The 23,174-nt window shown below is 38.2% G+C and overlaps 1 long non-coding RNA gene across 5 annotated transcripts in view; it reads right to left on the reverse strand.

The window, feature by feature from the left end:
• LOC105370290 (uncharacterized) overlaps positions 1–20,768 on the reverse strand; it is a 30,721-nt gene extending 9,953 nt beyond the window's left edge. Inside the window, exons 1-5 of one of the 5 annotated variants that reach the window (XR_942137.1) lie at positions 19,253–19,287; positions 14,582–14,698; positions 12,287–12,460; positions 10,528–10,662; positions 2,386–2,576 (exon numbers count right to left, since the gene is read on the reverse strand). This is a non-coding gene — a long non-coding RNA (uncharacterized LOC105370290). Of the gene's footprint in view, positions 1–2,385; positions 2,577–10,527; positions 10,663–12,286; positions 12,461–14,581; positions 14,699–19,252; positions 19,288–19,586; positions 19,821–20,679 lie in introns of those variants that run through there. The other 4 variants (XR_007063929.1, XR_942139.2, XR_007063930.1 and 1 more) reach the window with 4 other exon arrangements.
• Between the last annotated feature and the right edge of the window lie 2,406 nt (positions 20,769–23,174).

Raw genomic sequence — 23,174 nt, forward strand, 5'->3', positions numbered from 1 at the left:
AAGGAAAGTATATAGGCCTGAGTTAATAAAGAGGCTAAGAACTTTAAAGATGTAAAGCTCCCTCTATGCCCTCCACATCTATTAGCAGAAAATGGAATGTACATAATTTTTCACCCAAGCTTCTAAGGCCAAAAAAAAAAAAAATGTAAATGAAGATTCCCCCAACAGGTGGAAACAGTGATTCTGGAGAATAATGTACACGGGAGCTTCTTTCAGAGACAAGAGTGAAGGCCTCGGCCGGGCGCGGTGGCTCATGCCTGTAATCCCAGCATTTTGGGAGGCAGAGGCAGGTGGATCACGAGGTCAGGAGATCGAGACCATCCTGGCTAACACAGTGAAACGCTGTCTCTACTAAAAATACAAAAAATTAGCCGGGCGTGGTGGTGAGTGCTTGTAGTCCCAGTAAGTAGGGTGGCTGAGGCAGGAGAATGGCGTGAACACGGGAGGCGGAGCTTGCAGTGAGCCGAGATCGTGCCACTGCACTCCAGCCTGGGCGACAGAGCGAGACTCCATCTCAAAAAAAAAAAAAAAAAAGAAAAAAGAATGAAAGCCTCCTTGTGTCTGCATCTACCAGAGGTCCTGAACTCTGAACTCAATGTCATGACAAAATGGGGATTTTGTCTCACTTGGGAACAGGATAATGTAACTTATGTGGAAAGCAAGTTAAACTAATATTTTCTTTCCAGCACAGTCATTCTAGCAATGCTAATAATCTGGCCTTCTGGCTTCTTTCAGAGAGGCCTGTAGTTGAGATTTCTTTTAGTCAATGAAATGTGAGTAGATGTGAACTGTCCCGTGTCTTGGCAGAAGCTCTAACGGGCAATGTGCAGTTCACCATGCTTCCTTCCTCCAGCTGTGATGTACTTGGAAGCACATGTTGAAACAGCGTCCATCACCTGACGTCTTGAATTGACTACCATGAAAAGAGGCTCTTACCAATCTCTGTACATCAAGTAGTGTAAACCCTTAGTTGTGTTATGTTGCTGTGATTTTGGAGTTGCTTTACAGTTGACCCTTGAACAACACGGGTTTAAACTGCATGGTTTCTTCTGCCTCCGCCATTCCTGAAACAGCAAAACCAACTTTTTCTCTTTCTCCTTCTCAGTCTAATCAACGTGAAAATGACAAGGATGAACACCTTTATGATGACCCACTTCCCTGTAATGAATAGTAAATGTAGTTTCTCCTCTTTATAATTATTTAATAACGTTCTTTTCTCTAGCTTGTTTTATTGTAGTAATATAGTATATAATATATATAACACACAAAATAAGTGTTAATCTACTGTTTATGTTACTGATAAGGCTTCTCATCAACAGGCTATTAGTAGTTAGGTGTGGGGGGACTCAAGTTATAAACAAATTTTTGACTGTGTAGGGAATTGGTATATCTAACTCCCATGTTGTTCAAGGGCCAACTGTATTTTACCCTGTTCAAGGGTCAACTGTATTTTATCCTGTTCAAGGGACAACTGTATTTTATCCTGTTCAAGGGTCAACTGTATTTTACCCTGTTCAAGGGTCAACTGTATTTTATCCTGTTCAAGGGTCAACTGTATTTTACCCTGTTCAAGGGGCAACTGTATTTTATCCTGGCAAACATTTCCTATATTATGTGGAACAAAAATAGTTTTACTTAGTTTTTTATTTAAAAAAATGAATGAGATATGTGTGTGTGTGTGTGTGTGTGTGTGTGTGTGTGTGTGTGTAGTCATCGCTCAGTATTTATGGGGGACTGGTTTTTCAGGACCTCTTACAGATACCCAAATCCACAGATACTCAGGTCCCCAATATAGAATGGTGTAGTATTTGTGTATAACCTATGCACATCCTTCCAAAATTTTAAATCATTTCTAGATTCCTGATAATATCTAATAAAATGTAGGTGCTATATACACAGTGGTTACACTGTATTATTTAGGGAACAATGGCAAAAGTCTATACATTTCAGCTTTGCTTTTGTAAAAAACAATATAACAACGTAGCTCATCTGAAATTCCTCTTGCTGGAAAAAATAAAAATTTGTTGTTGAAATAACTTAATATAGTCATAAATATATAGGTTATCTTGCAAGAAAATAAGGGAAATTCTGAAAATAAAACAAAAGAAAAGCCTAAGCTTCTAATGTGTATATAATCTCATGACATGGATGCCTAGAGGAATTTGTGCATGTTCACAACTAAGGTGTTTCTGTTTTATACGTGTGACATAACATGTGTATACTGGGAATAGGGAGCAGGGCAGGAGATAAAGCCTTAGGCCAATTCATGACTTGGAAACATGTAACTGAGGCTGAAAATTCTAAGAAATTCACAATTAAAAAGTAGGCTACAGAAAGGAAATTTGCCTATCTTCGCTTGTATTCTATGTGGGAAAAAAAGTTCACCTGAAAATTTATGTCCTTAAGCAAGCATGAAGATGCAGTCTTTTAAAAAATTCTGTATGTTTAAGTTGTACTGCAAGATGTTTTGGTATACATATATAATGAAGTGATTACTACAGGTCAAGTGAATTAACATATCCAGTATTTCCCATAGTTACATCTCTTTTTTCTTCTTTTCTTCTTGTGATGCAAGTCTGGAAATTGAGAAATTACCATATAAAGGGGTGGGTTGCTAATAATTCAGTAGACGTACATGGTAAAAGCTATCATAGAAATGCTCTTGAGTAAAACATCAAGCAACTCATGATAAAAGAATCTGTCTAAGCAAAAGTCGGCACTGTGAATGTATAAGTAAAGGTAAATAAAATGAAAAGAAAGAGAAAATAAATGACAGACAACCATGGAATACAATATTTGTTTCTAAAATAAAGTAATGTAAGAATAGATTAAAAATACAAGAAAAAAACCCATGTAATATAATAATATGTGAAGTCGAGAAATAATCAAATTAAAATTAAATATGCAGTGATGCAGTAAGCAGTAAACTAGTATAATTTAACAGACAATTAGCCAAATGACACAGGAACTTTAACAAATGGACAATATAAAGAAAGTTTATGAGACATGTAGGGTGTTAAAGAAGTTCCATTAACAGAATAAATGAAACTGAGTATTTACTCTGAGAAGGCTAAGAATATTCCGGGTAAAATGGAAAACATGCATCTTCAGATTCAGCAAGCACAGCGGGTCTTAAGCAGAATAAATAAGAATCAATCTGCACCTGGACATTGTCATAATTAAATTACAGAAGCATAAATGGAATAATAGTTATTTAATGTATGTAAATTAAACACACACACACATACACACAAACACACACTACATATTACCTCCAAAAAATGAGAATTTGATGACTTTTTTAAATAGCAAGAATAAGCTAGAATATAATGAGGAATTTGAAGTTACTGGAAGAAAATTTCTGTGATTTCACAATTCTATATCAAGATAAGCTTAAAGAGAAAATATGAAATAATAATATGTTAATACCAAAATAGAAAGCTTTGTACTAGCAGAACCTCATTCTACAAGCTAGTAAAAGATGTGCATCCAGAAAAAGAAATGACAATGCATGTAAGTAGTTAGGGCTAAATACATCCCTTCATAAGTGATAGCTGACCAGTGAATGAATACAAGATGAGTTAGCCATGTGAAAGAGAATGAATGGGGTATAAAGTGGGGATTCTTAAAACAGTACTTCAAATATATAAAATATCATCATGGAGCCTAAGAAAACGATCCTAGTACAGACCTAGGGGCTACATGTTGGTATAGTATCAAAAGCCATGTAACTGCCAGGTTACATGCTGTTGCAGGAAGGTGTGCTGTTACTCACCCATAATGGGGAAGCACTGGAAGAATTTAAGTAGATTGCTGACATTCCAATTGTATTTCAGAAATATGGATAGTGCAATAATTTTGTGGACAGATTGTAATGAGAGGCAAACAGACATGTAAGGAAGTTTTTGAAAAAAACGTAATGAAAGTGTTTTATGAACAGAAAAGTTTTGTAAATAATGGTGTAAAGAAAGAGAAAAAAATCTATACTGCCTTTTTTTTTTTTGGTTTGAGTGTCTGGGAGGATATTGTTCAAATTTATTATTGTGGTACAACTTAACCAAGGCAAAAAATGAGTAGTCACCTTCAACTGTATTACAATTGAAAGTCCTCTCAGTCAAACCTCCCAGAACCTTAGAGTTTACAATTTTTGGATTTCTTCACTTATCCCTTGCATGAGTTAGATTTCTCCAGATTGCTGTTGTTTCTTATAGGGAGTAAGAGCAGAGACTGGTACACGATGGTGTAGAGCTACAACGACTGAGTCTCTCTGAAATAGAGCAAATCTTTCGGAGGTAATGTAACAATGTGCCTACGAAAGTAATCACAACATTACATCTACAGTTCATCTGAAGCTAATGAAATCATTTGGTGTGACCAAGACAATGAGGAGATGAATGCTGACCATTGCATTTTTTGATGAAAGAAAATTATCTTGTGCTAATTGTATGGGTTGTTTCTATTTCCTAATGAACTCTATTTTTAACTGTTAAAGTTTTAGTTATCAGATTTATCAGTTATCAGAAAAACACAAGTCTTATCGGCTAATGAATGCGATTTTTCTCTCCATTCAGTTATCCTTGTTACCAGGACTTGTTCAACAATAGACATTTTAATTTTTACATATAGTTATTCTTACAGATAATTGAAAAATGTAGTAGTAAAAATATAAGAATAGAGGAAGAGTAACTAGTTAAGAGACAAATGAAGATGTCTAGGTGAGCAATTATGATGGCTTAGGCTCTGGAATTAGCAGTATAGATGATAGAAGTGAAGAGATTCAGGATTGGATATAAAAACATAAAAGAGTTAAGATTAACTCATAGGTTTTATGCCTGCACAACTGTATAAATTGCAGTGCCTTTTACTAAGTTAGGGAACATAAGGGAAAAAGCACATACAGTGAATATAGTGGAATCAGTTTTAAGGATACATTTTTTTTCTATGTGAACTTTGAAGAAAACAACTTAACAATTAAAAGATGTAAAGCGAGTGCTGTATAATTAATTCTGTAGCTCACGGAAAGAGTCTATTTCTGACTACAGATAAACCTTTTTTTTAGACACTTATAAATTTTATATAAAACAAAGATTCTGGATAAAAATATGCCGAAATCGAATGCAGATAAACGAAAGGCTCAACACACTTCTTGGGTTATCCCAGGGTTTAGATTTGGGGGATGGAGGAAACAAATTTTAAAAATGACCAGTGTTACAAGTTGATATCCAAGAGAAATCTCTGATAGAAGACAAGAAAAAGGGAGAAATGTATATCAAATGTGTCTAATATATTGAATGAATTGTGAATTAAAATTAGTATTAGATTGGAGATAACGGGAATCTTTCTACCAAGTGATAAACTGGTTTCAAGAGATTTAAGCAGAAGATAAAGGGGAACAATACTAATAGGGCATTCTTTGATAATTGGCTGCAACATAGAAGAGTGAAATATAGTGGTAACTAGAGGACGATGTTGGTTGAAGGAGCTTTTTGTGATAAAATATGTTACAATATATCCTTATGTTTGGGGGTTTCATTTTCATTTTTTATTTTTTTGAGACAGAGTCTTGCTCTGTTGCCCAGGATACAGTGTAGTGGTGTGATATCCACTCACTGCAACCTCTGCTCCCAGGCTCAAGTGATCCTCCCACCTCAGCATCCCAAGTAGCTGAGAGTACAGGAATGTGCCACCATGCCTGGCTAATTATTTTGTATTTTTAGTAGAGGCAGGGTTTTGCCACGTTGCTTAGGCTGGACTGGAACTCCTGGACTTGCCTAGGCTGGACTTGAACTCCTGGACTCAAGCAATCCACTCATCTCAGCCTCCCAAAGTGCTTGGATTACTGAGCCACCATGCCAAGGGATAGTGTATCCTTATATTGATAGGAATTATGATGCAGGAAGAAGAAAGGAACTTGCAAGAAAAAATTTTAGTATAGGTATATGAGTGGGATACTGATGGTTTGACTTTTTTTCTTTTTTTGAGACGGAGTCTCACTCTATCGCCCAGGCTGGAGTGCAGTGGCGCGATCTCGGCTCACTGCAAACTCCACCTCCCGTGTTCACGCCATTCTCCTGTCTCAGCCTCCCGAGTAGCTGGGACTGCAGGTGCCCGCCACTGCGCCCAGCTAATTTTTTGTATTTTTAGTAGAGACGGGGTTTCACCGTGTTGCCAGAATGGTCTCAATTTCCTGACTTTGTGATCCGCCCGCCTCGGCCTCCCAAAGTGCTGGGATTACAGGCGTGAGCCACCGTGCCCGGCCGACTTTTAATAGGATAGAAACATTTGGAATTCAGTTATTATAATAGAAGGAAAAAATAGTTTGGTAAATTTGGGACTGTGCAGAGGTGGAAGACCTCTTCTGATTGCATACATTTTCTCAGTAATGTAACAAAATCATCAGCTGATAAAAGGAGAAAAAAAAATGGAAGAAACAGTAGCATAGAAAAGTGGAAAAAATAACTGATGTGGGAAGTACAGGAGAACCACCTAGAGACTTATACTGATGAATTAAAGATGAGTGTATGTGTTGGATGGGGGTGGCAGGGAGAGTTGCCCAGCTATATTCACTACTCCAGTGCAGACAGAATGTTTAACTTAAGGGTACTGTGATCCGCACTCCCTCAATCTCAGGAGTTTTAATAGATGGAGAGAAAGCAAACCTCAGTGTTTATGCACTGAGGGTCATTATGCAATGACCCTTATATGTGTGGGTCATTGGTTCTAAGACCTGTATGCATCAACACTAGAATGAGAGGGTTGATAAAATGTGAAAATATATGCATGTTTAGCTTATGCATCACAGGAGGGCCTATATAATTTTAGAATTAGGGTATTTGAGTGACTGAGCTATCAAGATAGATGGTGGTTGCCAGACGAAGCCATGATTAAAAGTAAGACCCAAGAGTTGGTTCAATTATTGTTAATTTAAAATCTAGTTGTGGCCATTAGATTGGGATGACTGGGGTGCGGTGGAAGACAAATGTGTTAGAGAGGAGAAAGTTGCACAGAACTATGGAGAACAGATCATCTTTTTATACTAAAAGATCTTGAGTAATGAAAATGTTACCAAAACACCAGGGGCAGTCTAGGTCCTGCTGATCACTGTGCATAAAGCCAATTACTGAGATGAAGAGTATTGCCAAGGACGAAGGCCTTAATTGGGTGCTGCTTCTAAGGAGATGGGAGCTCAGTCTCAAATCCATCTCCCTGACCAACTAAAAGTAGGGGTTTATATAATAGAAAAGAAATGTAACAATGTGTAAGAAAACAGTAACTAGGGAGGAACAAGGAAGCAATCAGGATGAATAAGGGATCCTGGCATCTTATTATCTGGAAATGGTTATCTGGTGAGTTTCAGTTCTTTGCTACTTTTTTTTTTTTGAGAGGCCTGAGGTGATTTCCTGATGAAAGAACTCAGATAAAACAAATACAAGTTTCATGCTTTAAGACCAGAAGGGTCAATTCCTATGTTTACCACAAACAAACAAAAAGGCTGGGAGTGGGGGCTCACACCTGTAATCCCAGCACTTTGGGAGGCTGAGGCAGGTGGATCACGAGGTCAGGAGTTTGAGACCAGCCTGACCAACATGTTGAAACCCCGTCTCTATTAACAATACAAAAATTAGCTGGGCTTGGTGTTGCATGCCTGTAATCCCAGCTACTCAGGAGGCTGAGGCAGGAGAATCACTTGAACCCAGGAGGTGGAGGTTGCAATGAGCTGAGATAGTGCCACTGCACTGCAGCCTGGGTGACAGAGCGAGACTCCATCTCAAAAAAAGAAAAAAACAAAAACAAAAAAACAGTCTGTGTGACAATTAGGCTGGTTTCAAAAACACAACTGGACAACTGGTATAATACAATGAATTTCTTCACTGGATAAGGGCAATTAGCAGATGGAAATTTATGACTCTGACAGAATGAAATAAAATTTTACAATCTGAGGGCATGAAGATCAAAGCCCTGGTCTTTCTGACAGTATGTATGTTAAAAAACTTGGGGGAGCTTCAATTATTTGTGGGATCATGGATCTGGAAGGTAAGGCATGTAGGGCATGACATGCCACCAAATCATTTTCTTTTATGTATGATTTTACAACATCAGATTTAAAGACTATTGAGTAAAAATATATTTTCTTATAAAACATTTTAAAACCCTTTATTGTTCACAGGGCCTGAGTTTAAACTTAATGTGGACTCTTGCCATTTGTTAATTGAAGCATTTCTGATGAGCATTCTAATTCCATCAAACTCACATACTGGATCTGTTATTTTATACTGATTATTTCCATGTAGGCTCCAATGCAAATTAGCATCTAACTTACAATACCTCAAAGGAGTTCCAGAACATGACCATTTAGTACTTCAGAAATCAAAGTTGCATTATTTTTATACAGTAATTATATCAGATGTATGTATGCCTCTTGTCTTTCAAGCCTGAAATTAATTTTTGGAAATCTGCATTTTTACCATATGATAAGCATTGAGTCTCAAGAAACAGTTTGCTTCAGTGAAGAATGAGTCAAGGGTATTGCTTTCAGTCTTTAATAGAATGCAGATTACCTACTGAAAAGGAAGGCCTTTATTTCATAAATTGAATAGAAAGATAAGTGAAAATAATTGTAAGTATTTAAAAGTAGATCACCTGAAAAAGTCAAATCTAAATATCTCTCTTGAGAGCCTGTACTTTTATTTAAATAAAAAGTATTTTCATTTATTTTAAAGATTTTAATGTTTTGTTCTATTCATTTTAAACTAGATTTGACTAGCATGAATAATTCAGCATTAAATTTTTTATTTAAAAAATAAATTCTTAAACGTTATTATTTGATAAAAAGCACATCTTCTATATTCATTAAAACTAAACCTCATATAGAAAACATTCATTCTTCTAATTTGCTAGCAACTCAACCTTTTAATGAATGACATAAGCTACCACTAGTCACTCATTCTTAAAGCAAGAAAAGAGTAGAGTCAGATAATTATAAAACTAAAAGAAAGAAAAACAGAAATGGAGATCTACCTGAAATTCTGTATTCTACAAAATGATCCTTTAAAATGGAAGAATACTTTTTTCTGAAAAATAAAAATTGCAGAAATGTGTTGCCTGTAAACTTGTCTTGCAAAAAGTGTTTTAAAAAGTTATTTAGGAAGAAAAATGATATAGTTCAGAAACTTGTATCTACATGAGGAAAGGAAAAGCATTAAAGTAATAAACACAGATAAATAAAATATTGTATTTTTCTAATTCCTAGTAGATCTAGGAGATAGAAGTTTGTTAAAGTAATAACAACAAAATTTGTATTTGTTAATTATAGCAAGTATGAAAATGAAATACATGATGATGTTATGAGGGGCAGATGGGACAAATTCAGAGTATTTTCTTACAAGATACGTGTAGTGCACATGAAGTGGTATATCATTATTTGAAAGAAGATGCCAGGCACAATGGCTTATGCCTGTAATGTCAGCACTTTAGGAGGCTGAGGAGGATCACCTGAACTCAGGAGTTTGACACCAGCCTGGGCAACATAGTGAGACCTCATCACCATTGAAAAAAAAATAGCCTCATGCAGGGGCGTGTACCTGTAGTCCAGTCTTGGGAGGCTGAAGTGGGAGGATCACTTGAGCCTGTAAGGTCAAGGCTGCAGTGAGCTGAAATTGTACCACTGCACTCCAGCCTGGGCAACAGAGTGAGAAAGTGTCTCGAAAAAAAAAAAAAAAAAAAGAAATCCTGAAAGAAGACTTCATACCTACAATAGTTGTAAATTATATTGTAACCTTTAGGGCTAATACTAATGAAAGATAAAAGCATAATTAAAATGCTAAGAGAGGAGAGAAAATGAGATTATTAAAAAAAGTGATCAATTAACACCACAGAAGGCAGAAAAAAATAGTGGATGCCGAATGATGGTTACTAGAGGCTGAGAAGGGTAGCGGGGAGGGGAGGATACAGCGAGGATGGTCAATGGGTGCAAAAGTATGGTTTGATAGTTTGAATAAGACCTAGTATTTGACAGCATAACAGGGTGACTACACTCAACAATAGTTTATTATGTATTTTAAAATAAAATAAATAAAAGACTGGAATTCAGATTTTCTTAATACAAAGAAATGATAAATGCTTGAGGTGATGGATATCCCAATTATCCTGATTTGGTGATTACACATTGTATCCCAGCATCAAAACATCATATGTGACCCATAAATGTATACACAAAAATAACAAGAACAACGGATAGAAAGCAGTTACAGAATGATAGACATGAATCCAAATATGTCAATAATCACTTTAAACTTCAATGGTCTAAGTATACCAATTAAAAGATAGAGTGGATACAAAGTTGAGACCCACCTATATGTTGTCATCAAGAAATCTTTAAGAGAGAGACATTAAAAGTGAAGGGATGGAAAAGATACGGCATAGTAGCAGTAATAATCTAAAGATAACAGAGGTACTATATTCATTTGCTAGGGCTGTTATAACAAAATACCACACACTGACTTAAACAACATAAATTTATATTCTCACAGTTCTGAAGGCTAGAAGTCTGAGATGAAAGTTTTGGCCTGGTTGGTTTCTTCTACGGCCTCTTTCCTTGTCTTGTAGACAGTAATCTTCTTTCCATCTTTAAATGGTCTTACCTCTGCGTGTGTCTGGATCTTCCTTTAAAGGACACAAATTGTAATGAATTAGGGCCCATACTACCAAAACTCATGTTAACTTAATTTTCATTTTAGAGATGCTATCCCTAAATGCAGTCATACTCTGAGGTACTAGGGGTTAGGACTTCAACATAAGAATTTTAGACGAACACAATTCAGCTCATAACTCGTAGTTATATTAATTTTAGACAAATCAGACTTCAGGGGAAAATAAAATATCAGGGATAGAGAGAGGCATTACATGATGAAAAAGCAGTCATTTCTCCAAGAAGGTGTAACAATCCCTAATGTGAATGTCTTTAATAATAATGGCAATATATGTAAGGCAAGAACTCATAGAAATGCAAGGTGATATAGATAAATTTATTGTTATATTTGGAAATGTTGAGACCCCCCTATGAGTAACTGACAGATCAAGGAGGCAGAAAATCAGTATAGTTGAACAAAATTGATACCATTGAATTGAACATCATCATCAATCTACTGCATACACTTGATATTTATAGAATACTTCATCCACCAACAGGAGAATACACATTTTTCTCAAGATGTCATGAAACATTCAGTAAAATAGACCACATTCTGGGCAATAAAACACACCTCGGCTGGGCGCGGTGGCTCACGCCTGTAATCCCAGCACTTTGGGAGGCAGAGGCGGGCGGATCATGAGGTCAGGAGATCGAGACCATCCTGGCTAACACAGTGAAACCCCGCCTCTACTAAAAAATACAAAAAATTAGCCGGGCGTGGTGGCGGGCGCCTGTAGTCCCAGCTACTCGGGACGCTGAGGCAGGAGAATGGCGTGAACCCGGGAGGCGGAGCTTGCAGTGAGCCGAGATCGCGCCACTGCACTCCAGCCTGGGCAACAGAGCAAGACTCCGTCTCAAAAAAAAAAAAAAAAAAAAAAAAAAAAACCACACCTCAACAAATTATTTTTAAAAAGTAATGTCAAAGTATATTTTTAGACCAAAATAGAATTAAAGGTGAGATCAATAATTAAAAGATACTTGGAAAATTCCAAATATATGGAAATTAAATAACACATTTCTAAATAACATCTAGGTCTCAGGATAAGTCTGAAAAAAATTTATAAATATTTTGAACTCCATAAAAAGAAAATAAACTTACTGCAATTTGTATGATGCAGCAAAATAATTCCTAGAGGGTAAGTTGTAGCAGAAAATGTATACGTTACAAAAGAAGAAATATTTAAAATCAGTATTCTAGTATCACAAATTATGACACTAAAAAAATTGTAAATCCCAAATAAGTAGAATAGTAAAAATTCGAGAATTAATAAAATTCGAAACAGAAAATCAGTGAAAAGTATGCTATTAGACAACATCAATAAAACTGATAAGCCTCCAACCAACTAACCAACAAAAAAGAAAGGAGACACAAATTACAAGTAACAGAAATATTACTACTGATTTCATGGATATTAAAATGATAGGGAATATTGTGAATGAAACTATGTCTATAACTTTGATAACCTAGATAAAATGGACCAATTTTTTGAAAACACAATTAGAAATAAAACTAGAAGAAATAAACAATCTGCATAGGCCTTTATCTATTAAATAAATTGAATAAACAATTAACTTTTAAAACAGAAAGCATCAGACCTGGTGATTATGTGTCTGGAATTGGTGGGCTCTTGGTCTCACTGACTTCAAGAATGAAGCCATGGACCCTTGTGATGAGTGCTACAGTTCTCAAAGATGGTGAGTCCGGAGTTTGTTCCTTCTTGCTTCTGGTGGGTTCACGGTCTGGCTGACTTCAGGAGTGAAGCTGCAGACCTTTGCGGCGTTACAAGTCATAAAGGCGGCGCCGATGGAAAGAGTGAGCAGCATTAAGATTTATTGCGAAGAGTGAAAGAACAAACCTTCCACTGCCTGGACGTGACCCCACTGCATTGCCATTGCTTGCTGGGGCGGCCTGCTTTTATTCCCTTATCTGGCCCCACCCACATCCTGCTGATTGGTCCATTTTACAGAGAGCTGATTGGTCCGTTTTACAGAGCTGATTGATCCATTTTGACAGAGTGCTGATTAGTGCATTTAGAAACCTTTAGCTAGACACAGAGTGCTGATTGGTGCGTTTACAGTCCTTTAGCTAGACACAAAAGTTCTCCACGTCCCCATCAGATTAGCTAGACATAGAGTGCTGATTGGTGTGTTTACAATCCTTTAGCTAGGCACAGAGTGCTGACTGGTGCATTTACAATCCTTTAGCTAGACACAAAAGTTCCCCGTCCCAGAAGCCCAGCTGGCTTCACCTCTCACTGGCACTGGCTGCAGGACTTTGTGGCACCTAGCCCGCGCACTTCGGCAGCCCAGATGGAGCTCATCTCAGACAACCAAGCGGAAAAGAGGGGAAGCCAGAAAGAGATGGAGACCCAACATTGTGGCCAATGAACCCGCGAAGAGGGAATGGCGTCCACGCATGGGACCCAGCCTCTGATCAAGCCCAGCAGGTGCCGGCTGGCCACACAGAGTGCGGGGCCCACCGAGCCAGCGCCCACCCTGAACCCGCACCGGCCGGCGAGCGCAGCATGCAGCCCAGACTCCGGCCTGTGCCTCTCCCTCCACACCTCCCTGCCAGCAGAGGGAGCCAGCTCTGGCCTCGGCCAGCCCCAGGGAGGGGCCCCCACAGCCAGCCCCAGAGATGGTCCCCCACAGCGCAGCTGCGGGCTGAAGGGCTCCTTGAGCGTGGCCAGAGCGGACGCAGAGGACGAGGAGGCGCCCAGAGCAAGCAAGGGCTGCTAGCACGTTGTCACCTCTCAATTAGCGGGGGCTACCCCAAGGTCCACAAGCCTACCTGGTGAGGGAGTCATGAGTAAAAGTAAGGTTATATTCTAGTTATTTAGAAAATATTTCTTTCATTCTTTAAATTTTTTATCTGCTTTTTTATATTGCTAAAGCACTACTAATAAAATACTAATTCGGTTGTACTCAAACTTTTTTTCTACTAAAAATAATCTAGGTGAATGGTAAATTAAAAAAAATTGGGAAATAAACGGCCTGGCGCAGTGGCTCACGCCAGTAATCCCAGCACTTTGGGAGGCTGAGGCAGGCAAATCACAAGGTCAGGAGATTGAGACCATCCTGGCCAACAGGGTGAAACTCTGTCTCTACTAAAAATACAAAAATTGCCCGGGCGTGGTGGCTCAGGCCTGTAATCCCAGCACTTTGGGAGGCCGAGGCAGGTGGATCACGAGGTCAGGAGATCGAGACCATCCTGGCTAACATGGTGAGACCCCACCTCTACTAAAAATACAGAAAAATTAGCCAGGCATCGTGACAGGCACCTGTGGTCCCAGCTACTTCGGAGCCTGAGGCAGGAGAATGGCATGAACCCGTGAGCGGAGCTTGCAGTGACCCGATCTCGGCTCACTGCAAGCTCCGCCTCACGGGTTCATGCCATTCTCCTGCCTCAGCGATTCTCCTGCCTCAGCCTCCCCCAGTAGCAAGTGCTGGGATTACAGGCATGAGTCACCATGCCCAGCCCATGAGGGCCTTTAAAAGATGTGAGGTTGTAAGGATCCCTTCTGTAATGAGCAACGTTTACAGATCAGAGATGTTTTACTTCTTTTTTTTGAGATGGAGTTTCGCTCTTGTTGCCCAGACTGGAGTGCAATGGCGTGATCTCAGCTCACTGCAACCTCCATGTTCAAGCAGTTCTCCTCCCTCAGCCTCCCGAGTAGCTGGGATTACAGGCATGCGCCATTACGCCCGGCTAATTTTGTATTTTTAGTAGAGACTGGGCTTCTCCTTCTTGGACAGGCTGGTCTCGAACTCCCGACCTCAGGTGATCCGCCCCCCTCGGCCTCCCAAAGTTCTGGGATTACAGGCGTGAGCCACCGCGCCCGGCCCCATTTTGATAATCTTTTATTAGGAAAAAAATATCATGAACATTACCTGAGTTTTCTTATTTAATGCAGCATACATCACTGCTATTCCATTAAAACAGACAATTTTCTCACATTTTCCAGCAGGTGGCAGCACAGACTCGCTATTTGAACCAAGTTTACGCTTCTAAATAGGCAAAAAGAAATGGTAAAAAGACATGAATACAGAATATTTAGAAACATTTTGGGGCACTATAAAACATCTTTATAAAAATGTTAATAGTGGCAAAAATCATGTTTTCATTATTGTAAATCATATTTGTGTAGGAAAAGTAAAATTCAAGATCATGGTGAGTTACCCTTTGAATTAGAACTTTTCTTAGAATCATCTCAGGCACATTTAATGAAGCTTTCTTTGAGAGACTATTAGTGTTTAATAAATCTAAAATAGAATAAAAGTTGCTTTGAAAATCTGCCTTAATTAGTGATACATATCTTTTTTATTGTACATAATCCTAATACTACGTTGGATATTTAATTAAAGAATAAAACAACATTAGAACTCTTGCTTTAACATGAATTCTACTCAGTAGAATTGCCATATGCAAGAGAAAATATCTGCATTACCCAAACTAGCTTTTCTCCTCTGTTCTCTAACATCGCCGTCCAACTGATTGTATCAAGTGGTAAACTCGATTTTTTCAAGCTGTCCGTCTCCCTCTTCCCCATTCCATGTATCAGCTCTTGTCATGTCTTACTAATCTCTTACCACTTACATTTTATGGGATCTGTCTAATCTTTTCTATTTCCCTGCCACTTCTCTGATCTGAGCCACCATATTATTTAGATAACCTCTTTGTCTCACAAAACATCCACCAGCCTCAGTATTTTACTATTACTGTGCATTGGAGTGAGAAAAATTTCTGTAGCAAAAATTATGTTATATCCTTGCCTTTCTAAATCTATGGAAGGCTTTGTCAGTGCTCCTTAGATAGAGTTAACCTCCTTTACTCAACAAGTTAAGATAATTTGTTAGGTGCTGGAGTATAAATAATGAATAAAGAAGAAATTGGCCTCAACTACTGAGTGTAAGTATTTCAGGGAAAATTAATGAAAAATACATATAAAATTAATATTAATATAAAAATTAATATTGTAGTTTGACTGTGTTAAAGAAGTTCAGCATGTTAAGGGAGCATAAAATAAAAGAAAGTGGTCCAAAAATTCTCTCTGAGCAATGCTATTTATGTTAAGGATTCCAAGAGGGAGGAATGAAACAATCGAGGAGGGAGAGAAAAATGAATGGGCAAGTAGAATGGGTGGAGACCATGACACTGTGTATGAGCTGTATCCTCCTATGCAGCTTGAGTGACATGCTGAAGAAGTACTCGCTTATATTTGAACTTTGTTGTCATCGAAGAATTGATTCATGGGAAATTCCCTGATCAGATTTGTAATTTAGGAACTCAAATTGCATGAGAGGAATGATTTGTGGCTGGGAGTGAGGGGAGTGAAACACAAAACAAGGAAAGGATCTATCTACTTAAGAACATAGTTTTTAAGGCCTTTAGTGGAGTTGTGGAAACAGTGCTGAGGAATGAAAAAAGTGTAAGAATGATAAAGTATTTCAACAGAAGAAATTACATTGCAGAAAGGACTCTGTAATGAGTCTTAAGATTGTAACCTGTGTAGGCCGGGTGCAGTGGCTCACGCCTGTAATCCCAGCACTTTGGGAGCCCGAGACGGGTGGATCACGAGGTCAGGATATCGAGACCATCCTGGCTAACAAGGTGAAACCCCGTCACTACCAAAAAAAAAATACAAAAAATGAGCCGAGCGTGGTGGCGGGCGCCTGTAGTCCCAGCTACTCGGGAGGCTGAGGTGGGAGAATGGCGGGAACCCGGGAGGCGGAACTTGCAGTGAGCCGAGATGGCGCCACTGCATTCCAGCCTGGGAGACAGAGCGAGACTCCGTCTCAAAGAAAATAAAAAAATAAATTAATTAAAAGAAGATTGTAACCTGTGTAATGTATAGAACTGAAATGTCATTACTAAACTAGTAAATATAGAAGAACCAACAAGATGATTGATTAATACAAGCTAATTTTGTATATTTTGAAGTTGAGCATCCTGTGAGACTGCCAGTTGTCTATCACAAACAGAATTTCGATAAAAGTTTGAACCTCAAGATGGAGTGATAGTTCAGTATCTAGGGCTTAGTGGAGGCTGGAGCTAACCACAAGGAGCTGAGGTACCAGTGCTGTGGTGAAACGGGAAAAGTTCCCTTATCCCCCTCGCAGGGCGTGAGATGGGGGTGTAGCTCATGGGGGTGTACCTCACTTCTTCGGTGCCCCGTTGTTCAAGCCTCTAAGGGAAGCATGCAGACGGGCCGGCTGTGAGGCTCTGATCCCATAGCAGCGTCTAGAGGTGAATGTTTACAGCTCCTGAACCCCCAGTGGGCATGTGTTACAGGGTGCTCTTTTAGGTTAGCTGTCTGGAGGCGGCTTGTGTTAGCTCAGTTAGATCCCTGCCTTATCACAAGGACAGAGGGCTTTCTGTATCCTGGGGTTTCTTGCCTTGATGTACCAGAAGAATAGGATCACCCGTGGGCTTGGAGAATGAGTGCAGGGTTTTACTGAGTAGAAGTAGCGCTCAGCAGATGCGGGAGCCTGAAGGGAGATAGAGTGGAAAGGTGGTTTTCTTCTGTATTTGGGCTGCTCAGCGGCTGGGCTCTCCTCTGACTGCCCCGGCCGAACTCTACATCTTCCCACTGGTCCATGGCCTGCCAGCCTGCTGGTCCCTATTGATGTGCCCTTACGCCAGCGTGTTCCTCTTGATGTTCAGCCACTTGTGTGTACCCACTAGGGTGTTGGGGTTTTTATAGGCACAGGATGGGGGCGTGGCGGGCCAGGGTGGTCTTAGGAAATGTAACATTTGTGCAAGAAAACAACTGTCTGTTTTCACCTAGGTCCATGGGCACAGGTACTGGAGTGGAGCCCTAGCCAGGCACCCGCCCTTCTCTACCCAACACTTCCCTACCCCTCTCCCGTATCAATGGAAGTAAAGATAGTGTGCTTCAAACTCTCTTTTCAAGACATCTGGCTGCGAAAAGATTAAAAATATAGAACAGAAACAGTGGAGAAAATGCCTGTGTTTTGTTTCATATCTTGAGTTTCGTTTCATATCTTAGGATGGGAGGAGCATAAATCTTAAATACTGAGGTCAAAGAGCCAGCGAAAAGTAGTGGCTAAAGAATCATCACGAGTACATATTCAATGATACAACATCCCACAGGTGTGGGAGGCACGCAGGTGATAGAGAACACAGGAAATGTGATGTTGAGTGCGAGAGCAGCCGCCAGCCTCTTCCATATGGACATGAGGGGAGGATGGGTGAGAAGGTGAAGATTTTTGTAGGTGAAAAACAAGTTCACTTTGGTTTCCCACTTTTAAAATAGAAAATGAGACAATCAGCTGAGAACAAACAAGATGATTGTAGTTTGGGGCACGTTAGTAAACAAATGAAACTTTATAAGTCTACTTCAGGGAAAGAAAAAGAACTGAGTAGAAGCACGAAGAAGGACTAAATGCAAGAAACAAATCATATTTCAATTCTAGATTATAGAACATTAAAGTCAGCTTTCAATGCCGTGAGAGACAGTGAGGTCATATAGTGGATAATGGGTGTTAAATATTTCAGAGGTGGTATATTTTGGGGTCACCACCTCACATAAAAAGACTGGTAAGTTTACAAAAATATGTCCTACTACTCCTTTACAAAGGGTAACAAAAAGCACAAAACACAACAAACTAATATCAGAGATTTTTAATAGGAAATTTACAGTAAAATTAGAGTATGAAGAATATGTTTGAACAATGTGTTAAACAATATACGTTTAAAGCAGGATGGATATATAAGAATGGCACAGATATAAATATTGTTTAGGAACTTATAAGAACATTGATGTTATTAAGAGGAAAACTTGTGCACCTCACAATAAACTTCAAAATCCTACTGATCAAGATAAAAATAAAGAGAGATGGAAGTGATAGATTTCTCACTCAAATGCTGTGCAATTGCCTAAGAACCTTTTCCTTTTCTTTCTCAGTCTACCTCTTCAGTGATAGATTGCTCTACAGCAATCTCTTTTTTCCTCATCTCAATCAACCTTCCATTTTTCTCCTTTGAGTACTTTGGGCCCCAACATTTTCCCTCTTTGGTCAATTTGACCTTCTTTCTGATTTCATATTTCTTTCTCTTTTTTTTTTTTTCTAACTTGTTACATTTATGTGTAACTACTCTGTACTCAGCCTGGTGTTAAATCAACTTTTTAAGGTGTATTATATTAAAGAGCAATATTATAATGATTTAAATACTATTGATTGTTTTGCCTGACTTTATTCTGGAACTCAAGAAACATAAACAAATATATTTTTTTAAAAAATCATTTTTGTCTCAAAAGACAAAACTGTGGACTACAGCAGAGAAAATAATTTAATTTTGCTACACTAGTAAAATTCATTTCTTTTTATTGAAGATAAGTTTTGTAAAATCAGCAGACAAAAAAATCATCTGGTTTATGAGGTAAATGATGGTTTTCTTTATTTATAAAACACATATTTCTTTAAAATGCTTCTCCATTTTTATTTTTTCACATACTGAACTAGTCTGTTCTCATGCTGCTAATAAAAAGATACCTGAGGCTAGGTAGTTTATAAAGGAAAGAGGTTTATTTGACTTACAGTTCCACATGGCTGGGGAGGCCTCACAATCATGGCAGAAGGTGAATGAGGAAAAAAGTCACATCTTACATGGTGGCAGGCAAGAGAGCCAGTGCAGGGGAACTCCCTTTTATAAAACCATCAAATCTCGTGAGACTTATTTGCTATTGTGACAACAGCACAGGACAAACCCGCCCCCATGATTTATTACCTCTTCCCAGGTCCCTCCCACAACATGTGGGGATTATAGAAGCTACAATTCAAGATGAGATTTGGGTGGGGACACAGTCAAACTATATTGCATACTAAAGAAGAAACTATGTATATCCTTTAAGTTGCCAATATATTGACATACCTGTTTGTTTATTGACTTGTCACTGTTCACATATTCAAGATGCTTGGAAATAACACTCCTTTAACCATCTGAGGTATTTACAAGTTTGGCTTAATAAAAAGATCACACAGCAGAGTAAAGAGGAAGGGAACATGTACAATGGCATTCATCAGAAGAATTGTAGATTTCATATTCCCTTTCTTGGTAGCATGAGGTATTAGCTATAGAAACAAAATTCTGTGTGGAAAATCACCCATAGAAATATAAGGAACATACAATAATGTTTTAGCTCTTGAGCCAGACTGAGGTCAGTTGACCTAAATTTTGTGATAATGTGCATCTCTACTGGTATGAATTGGGCTCATATTTGTTTGTGTCTAGCTATGGTTCATTTATCTAGCTTGAGCTCAGCTGTGGGTGGCTCTGCTTCAAGGGTCCCTAATCCACACCTCATTCCCATGAACTTACTAGGAATGTTCTCACTCTCACGGCAATTTCAGAGGAACTTATGCACAGGTGAAAACACGTAGGGACCCTTGAAGTATATGTTTAGAACTGGCCCATCATCACTTTTGCTTCATCCTGTTGGCCAAAGGATATTGCATGGCTGAGGCTAATGTGGAGAAACAGAAAACTGCACACTGTTCACGTTTGAAGGGCCCTTAAGGTTATGGCAAAAGGTGTAATCCAGGGAGAAGTGCAGATGGTTGCCAATAACATAATCTACTTAACCACCTGAACAAGTAATAGTTTTAGAAACAGAAAGTCAATATTTGGAATGCCCGTTGTTTATTCCTCACTACCTAATTAACCTTCAGACTGTGGTACATTGCTTAGATTTCTCTCTTGTAATAAAAATTCCATTACCTCTGTGAAAGTTATCCTGAGAGAAAGAAATAAAAACAATTTATATAAGATGATTGTACGTGAATTTTCATTCACTTAAGTTTCTCTGCAGTTGAATTTCCTTCCTACTTTTGGAGAATCACTGAACTGTAAAGCAGAGACTGCTTCATATTATTTTAAACTGTGAAAACTACTGATATTTATCTTTTAGGCCCTTTAATACACAGTAAAATCCTTGATATAGGCTTCACCAATCAAACACACCTACCATAGACTTGAATTAAAATTTAATCATGTGAGAAGTCAAGGATGACAAGGCGACAGTGGCAGCTGCAGCCAGTTCCTGTAGCTGCAGTTGTAGCAGTTTGAGTGACAGTATGAATGTCCTGTTTGTGAAGTCATCAGTGATGTAATCTGTAGTGTTTGTTACTAGTAAATACAAGGAGAAGAAAAATAATTTAAGCCCAAGAGAACCCCAAAATGTAGCTCACCCTGGCAATGTCTGGCCCATTTTCCCTAGACCTTTCATATTCTCTGGGTGATTTTCAACAGTATCTACATCCCTGAAGCTGAAAACTCCTTTCCCTTGGATTTTGGAAAGATCAGTTTCCTACATAGTTTTGGCAGCAGGCAGGATATGCAGGGAAATATAGCACCCAGTAGCAGCCCTCACCAATGATGCTTAGGAGTTAGGGTATAAAAACCACAGATACTTGACCCCATGAATGGGGCTGATAGAAGTGTGCGTTTGCATCCTTTCAGTGTTTCCCCAGTGGATTAAGCCTTAATAGCACTTTAGGGTAGCTGTCTTAATACTACAGTCATTAATAGGTGTTTATTCTATTATCAATTCCCTACTTCCTTAATCATTTCATTTTCCAAATCAACTACTTTTACTTGAATTCTAGAGGCTGGGTCTGCTTCTTAGAGAGTATACATTAAGGTGCTAGGTTTATATTTCTGATGGTAAGTGAAATGGTACAGCTTTAAAAAACACAACCACCTTACACAGTCAGAGGCAATAAAAATTCAGATTCCTTAAGAGTGAAGAAACTACAATGAGATTATCAGCTGACACCTGTTGGAATGTCTATTATCAAAAAGACAAAAGATAAGTGTTGACAAGGATGTGGATAAAAAAAAAATGCTTGTGTACTGTTGGTGGGAAAGTAAGTTAGTACATCCATTATGGAAATAGTAGAGAGGTTTCTCAAGAAATTAAAAATAGAAATACCATATGATTCAGCAAACCTATTTCTGGTTATTCAGACAAAGGAATTAAAATCAGTGCCTCAGAGAGATATTTATATCCCCATGCTAATTGCCCCACAATTGACAATAGCCAAGATATGGAAACAACCTAAATGTCTGTTGACAAATGGATTAAAAAAATCGTGCTATACAAGATATGTAACAAAATAATATTTAGCCTTAACAAAGAAGGAAATCCTGCCTTTTGTGACGACATAGATAAATCTGGAGGCAATTATGTGAGACGAAATAAGCCAGACACACAGAAAGATAAATACTGTGTGATCTCACATACATGTGGAATCTACAGTAGTCAAACTCATAGCAGCATAGAGTAAAATGGTGGTTTTCAGTGGCTCGGGGTAGGGAGAGATTGGAGATGTTTGTCACAGGGTACACAATTTCAGTTATGCAAGATGAATGAGTTCTGGAGATCTAATATATATCAATGTGGTTTTAACTAACATTATTGTATACTGTGAGCCTAAAATTTGCTAAGCAAGTAAATCTTAAGAGTTCTCATCAAAAAGTAATCATGTGAAGAGATAGATATATGAGTTTCAATATGGTGATTATTTTACAATACATACATATATCAAAACATCACTTGTACATCTTTAATATATACAATATATATTTGTTAATTATATATCAATAAAGCTGATAAAAATTCATGAAGATATATAGATAGATACATTACTTCACAGGGCAAAAACTTAACAACTGAGTTGTTGGCTGTGGTACAGGACTTGTGGTGTGATTAGCAAACCAAGGCAGTAATAAAAAACAACTACGATCTATTGACAATTAAAAAATGAAGACTTATGGGCATTAACTCATATTTCCTTTCTTGCTCTGTCATATGCATAGCTATATTAGGCAAATACTTTCCCTCTTCTGTACACTTCATTTTCTTTTTTCTTCAATAAAGGGTGTATGTTGTTGATAATATCAAGATAACATTTTAACAAAAGCAAGATTTTAATGGGCATGATTGGATGATTATGGTCTTACATTGGTTTCGGTAATTCATAGTAATTTGCTTTAACCCTTTCGATTGGAAGATTAACATGTATTTGATTGTACAAGAAATAATTGCATTATGTTAGAAAAAATGTATGATTTTAGAAGTATAAAGAAAAGAACAAATAATTATACTAATATTGCACAGCCAAAGTTGATGATGTTGAAACCATCTTACTATTATTTTTTTGCTTCTTATTAAATTAATGTGACTTGCATTTTTTCCACTATAACAAAATGCCTACTTCTAACAACAGAGTTTGAAATTTTTGGATTCTTGCTTCCCAAGTCTCTCTTGCTGTTAGTGTGTGTGCTTGGAAACTAGAATCCACCAATCTCATGCACCTGTCCCAGACATTGAATTAGAACCAAAAAAAATAAACGTCCACGGCCGTTATTTATGGTGGGGAATCAGTAGGATCCATCTCCAGTTCATAGAATAACAGTGGCAAGAGTAACCCTAGAAGAATTGTGGGTCAAGAGCAGTGT

Source organism: Homo sapiens, chromosome 13 (genome assembly GCF_000001405.40).
Source record: "Homo sapiens chromosome 13, GRCh38.p14 Primary Assembly".
NCBI classification, from domain to species: Eukaryota; Metazoa; Chordata; class Mammalia; order Primates; family Hominidae; genus Homo; species Homo sapiens.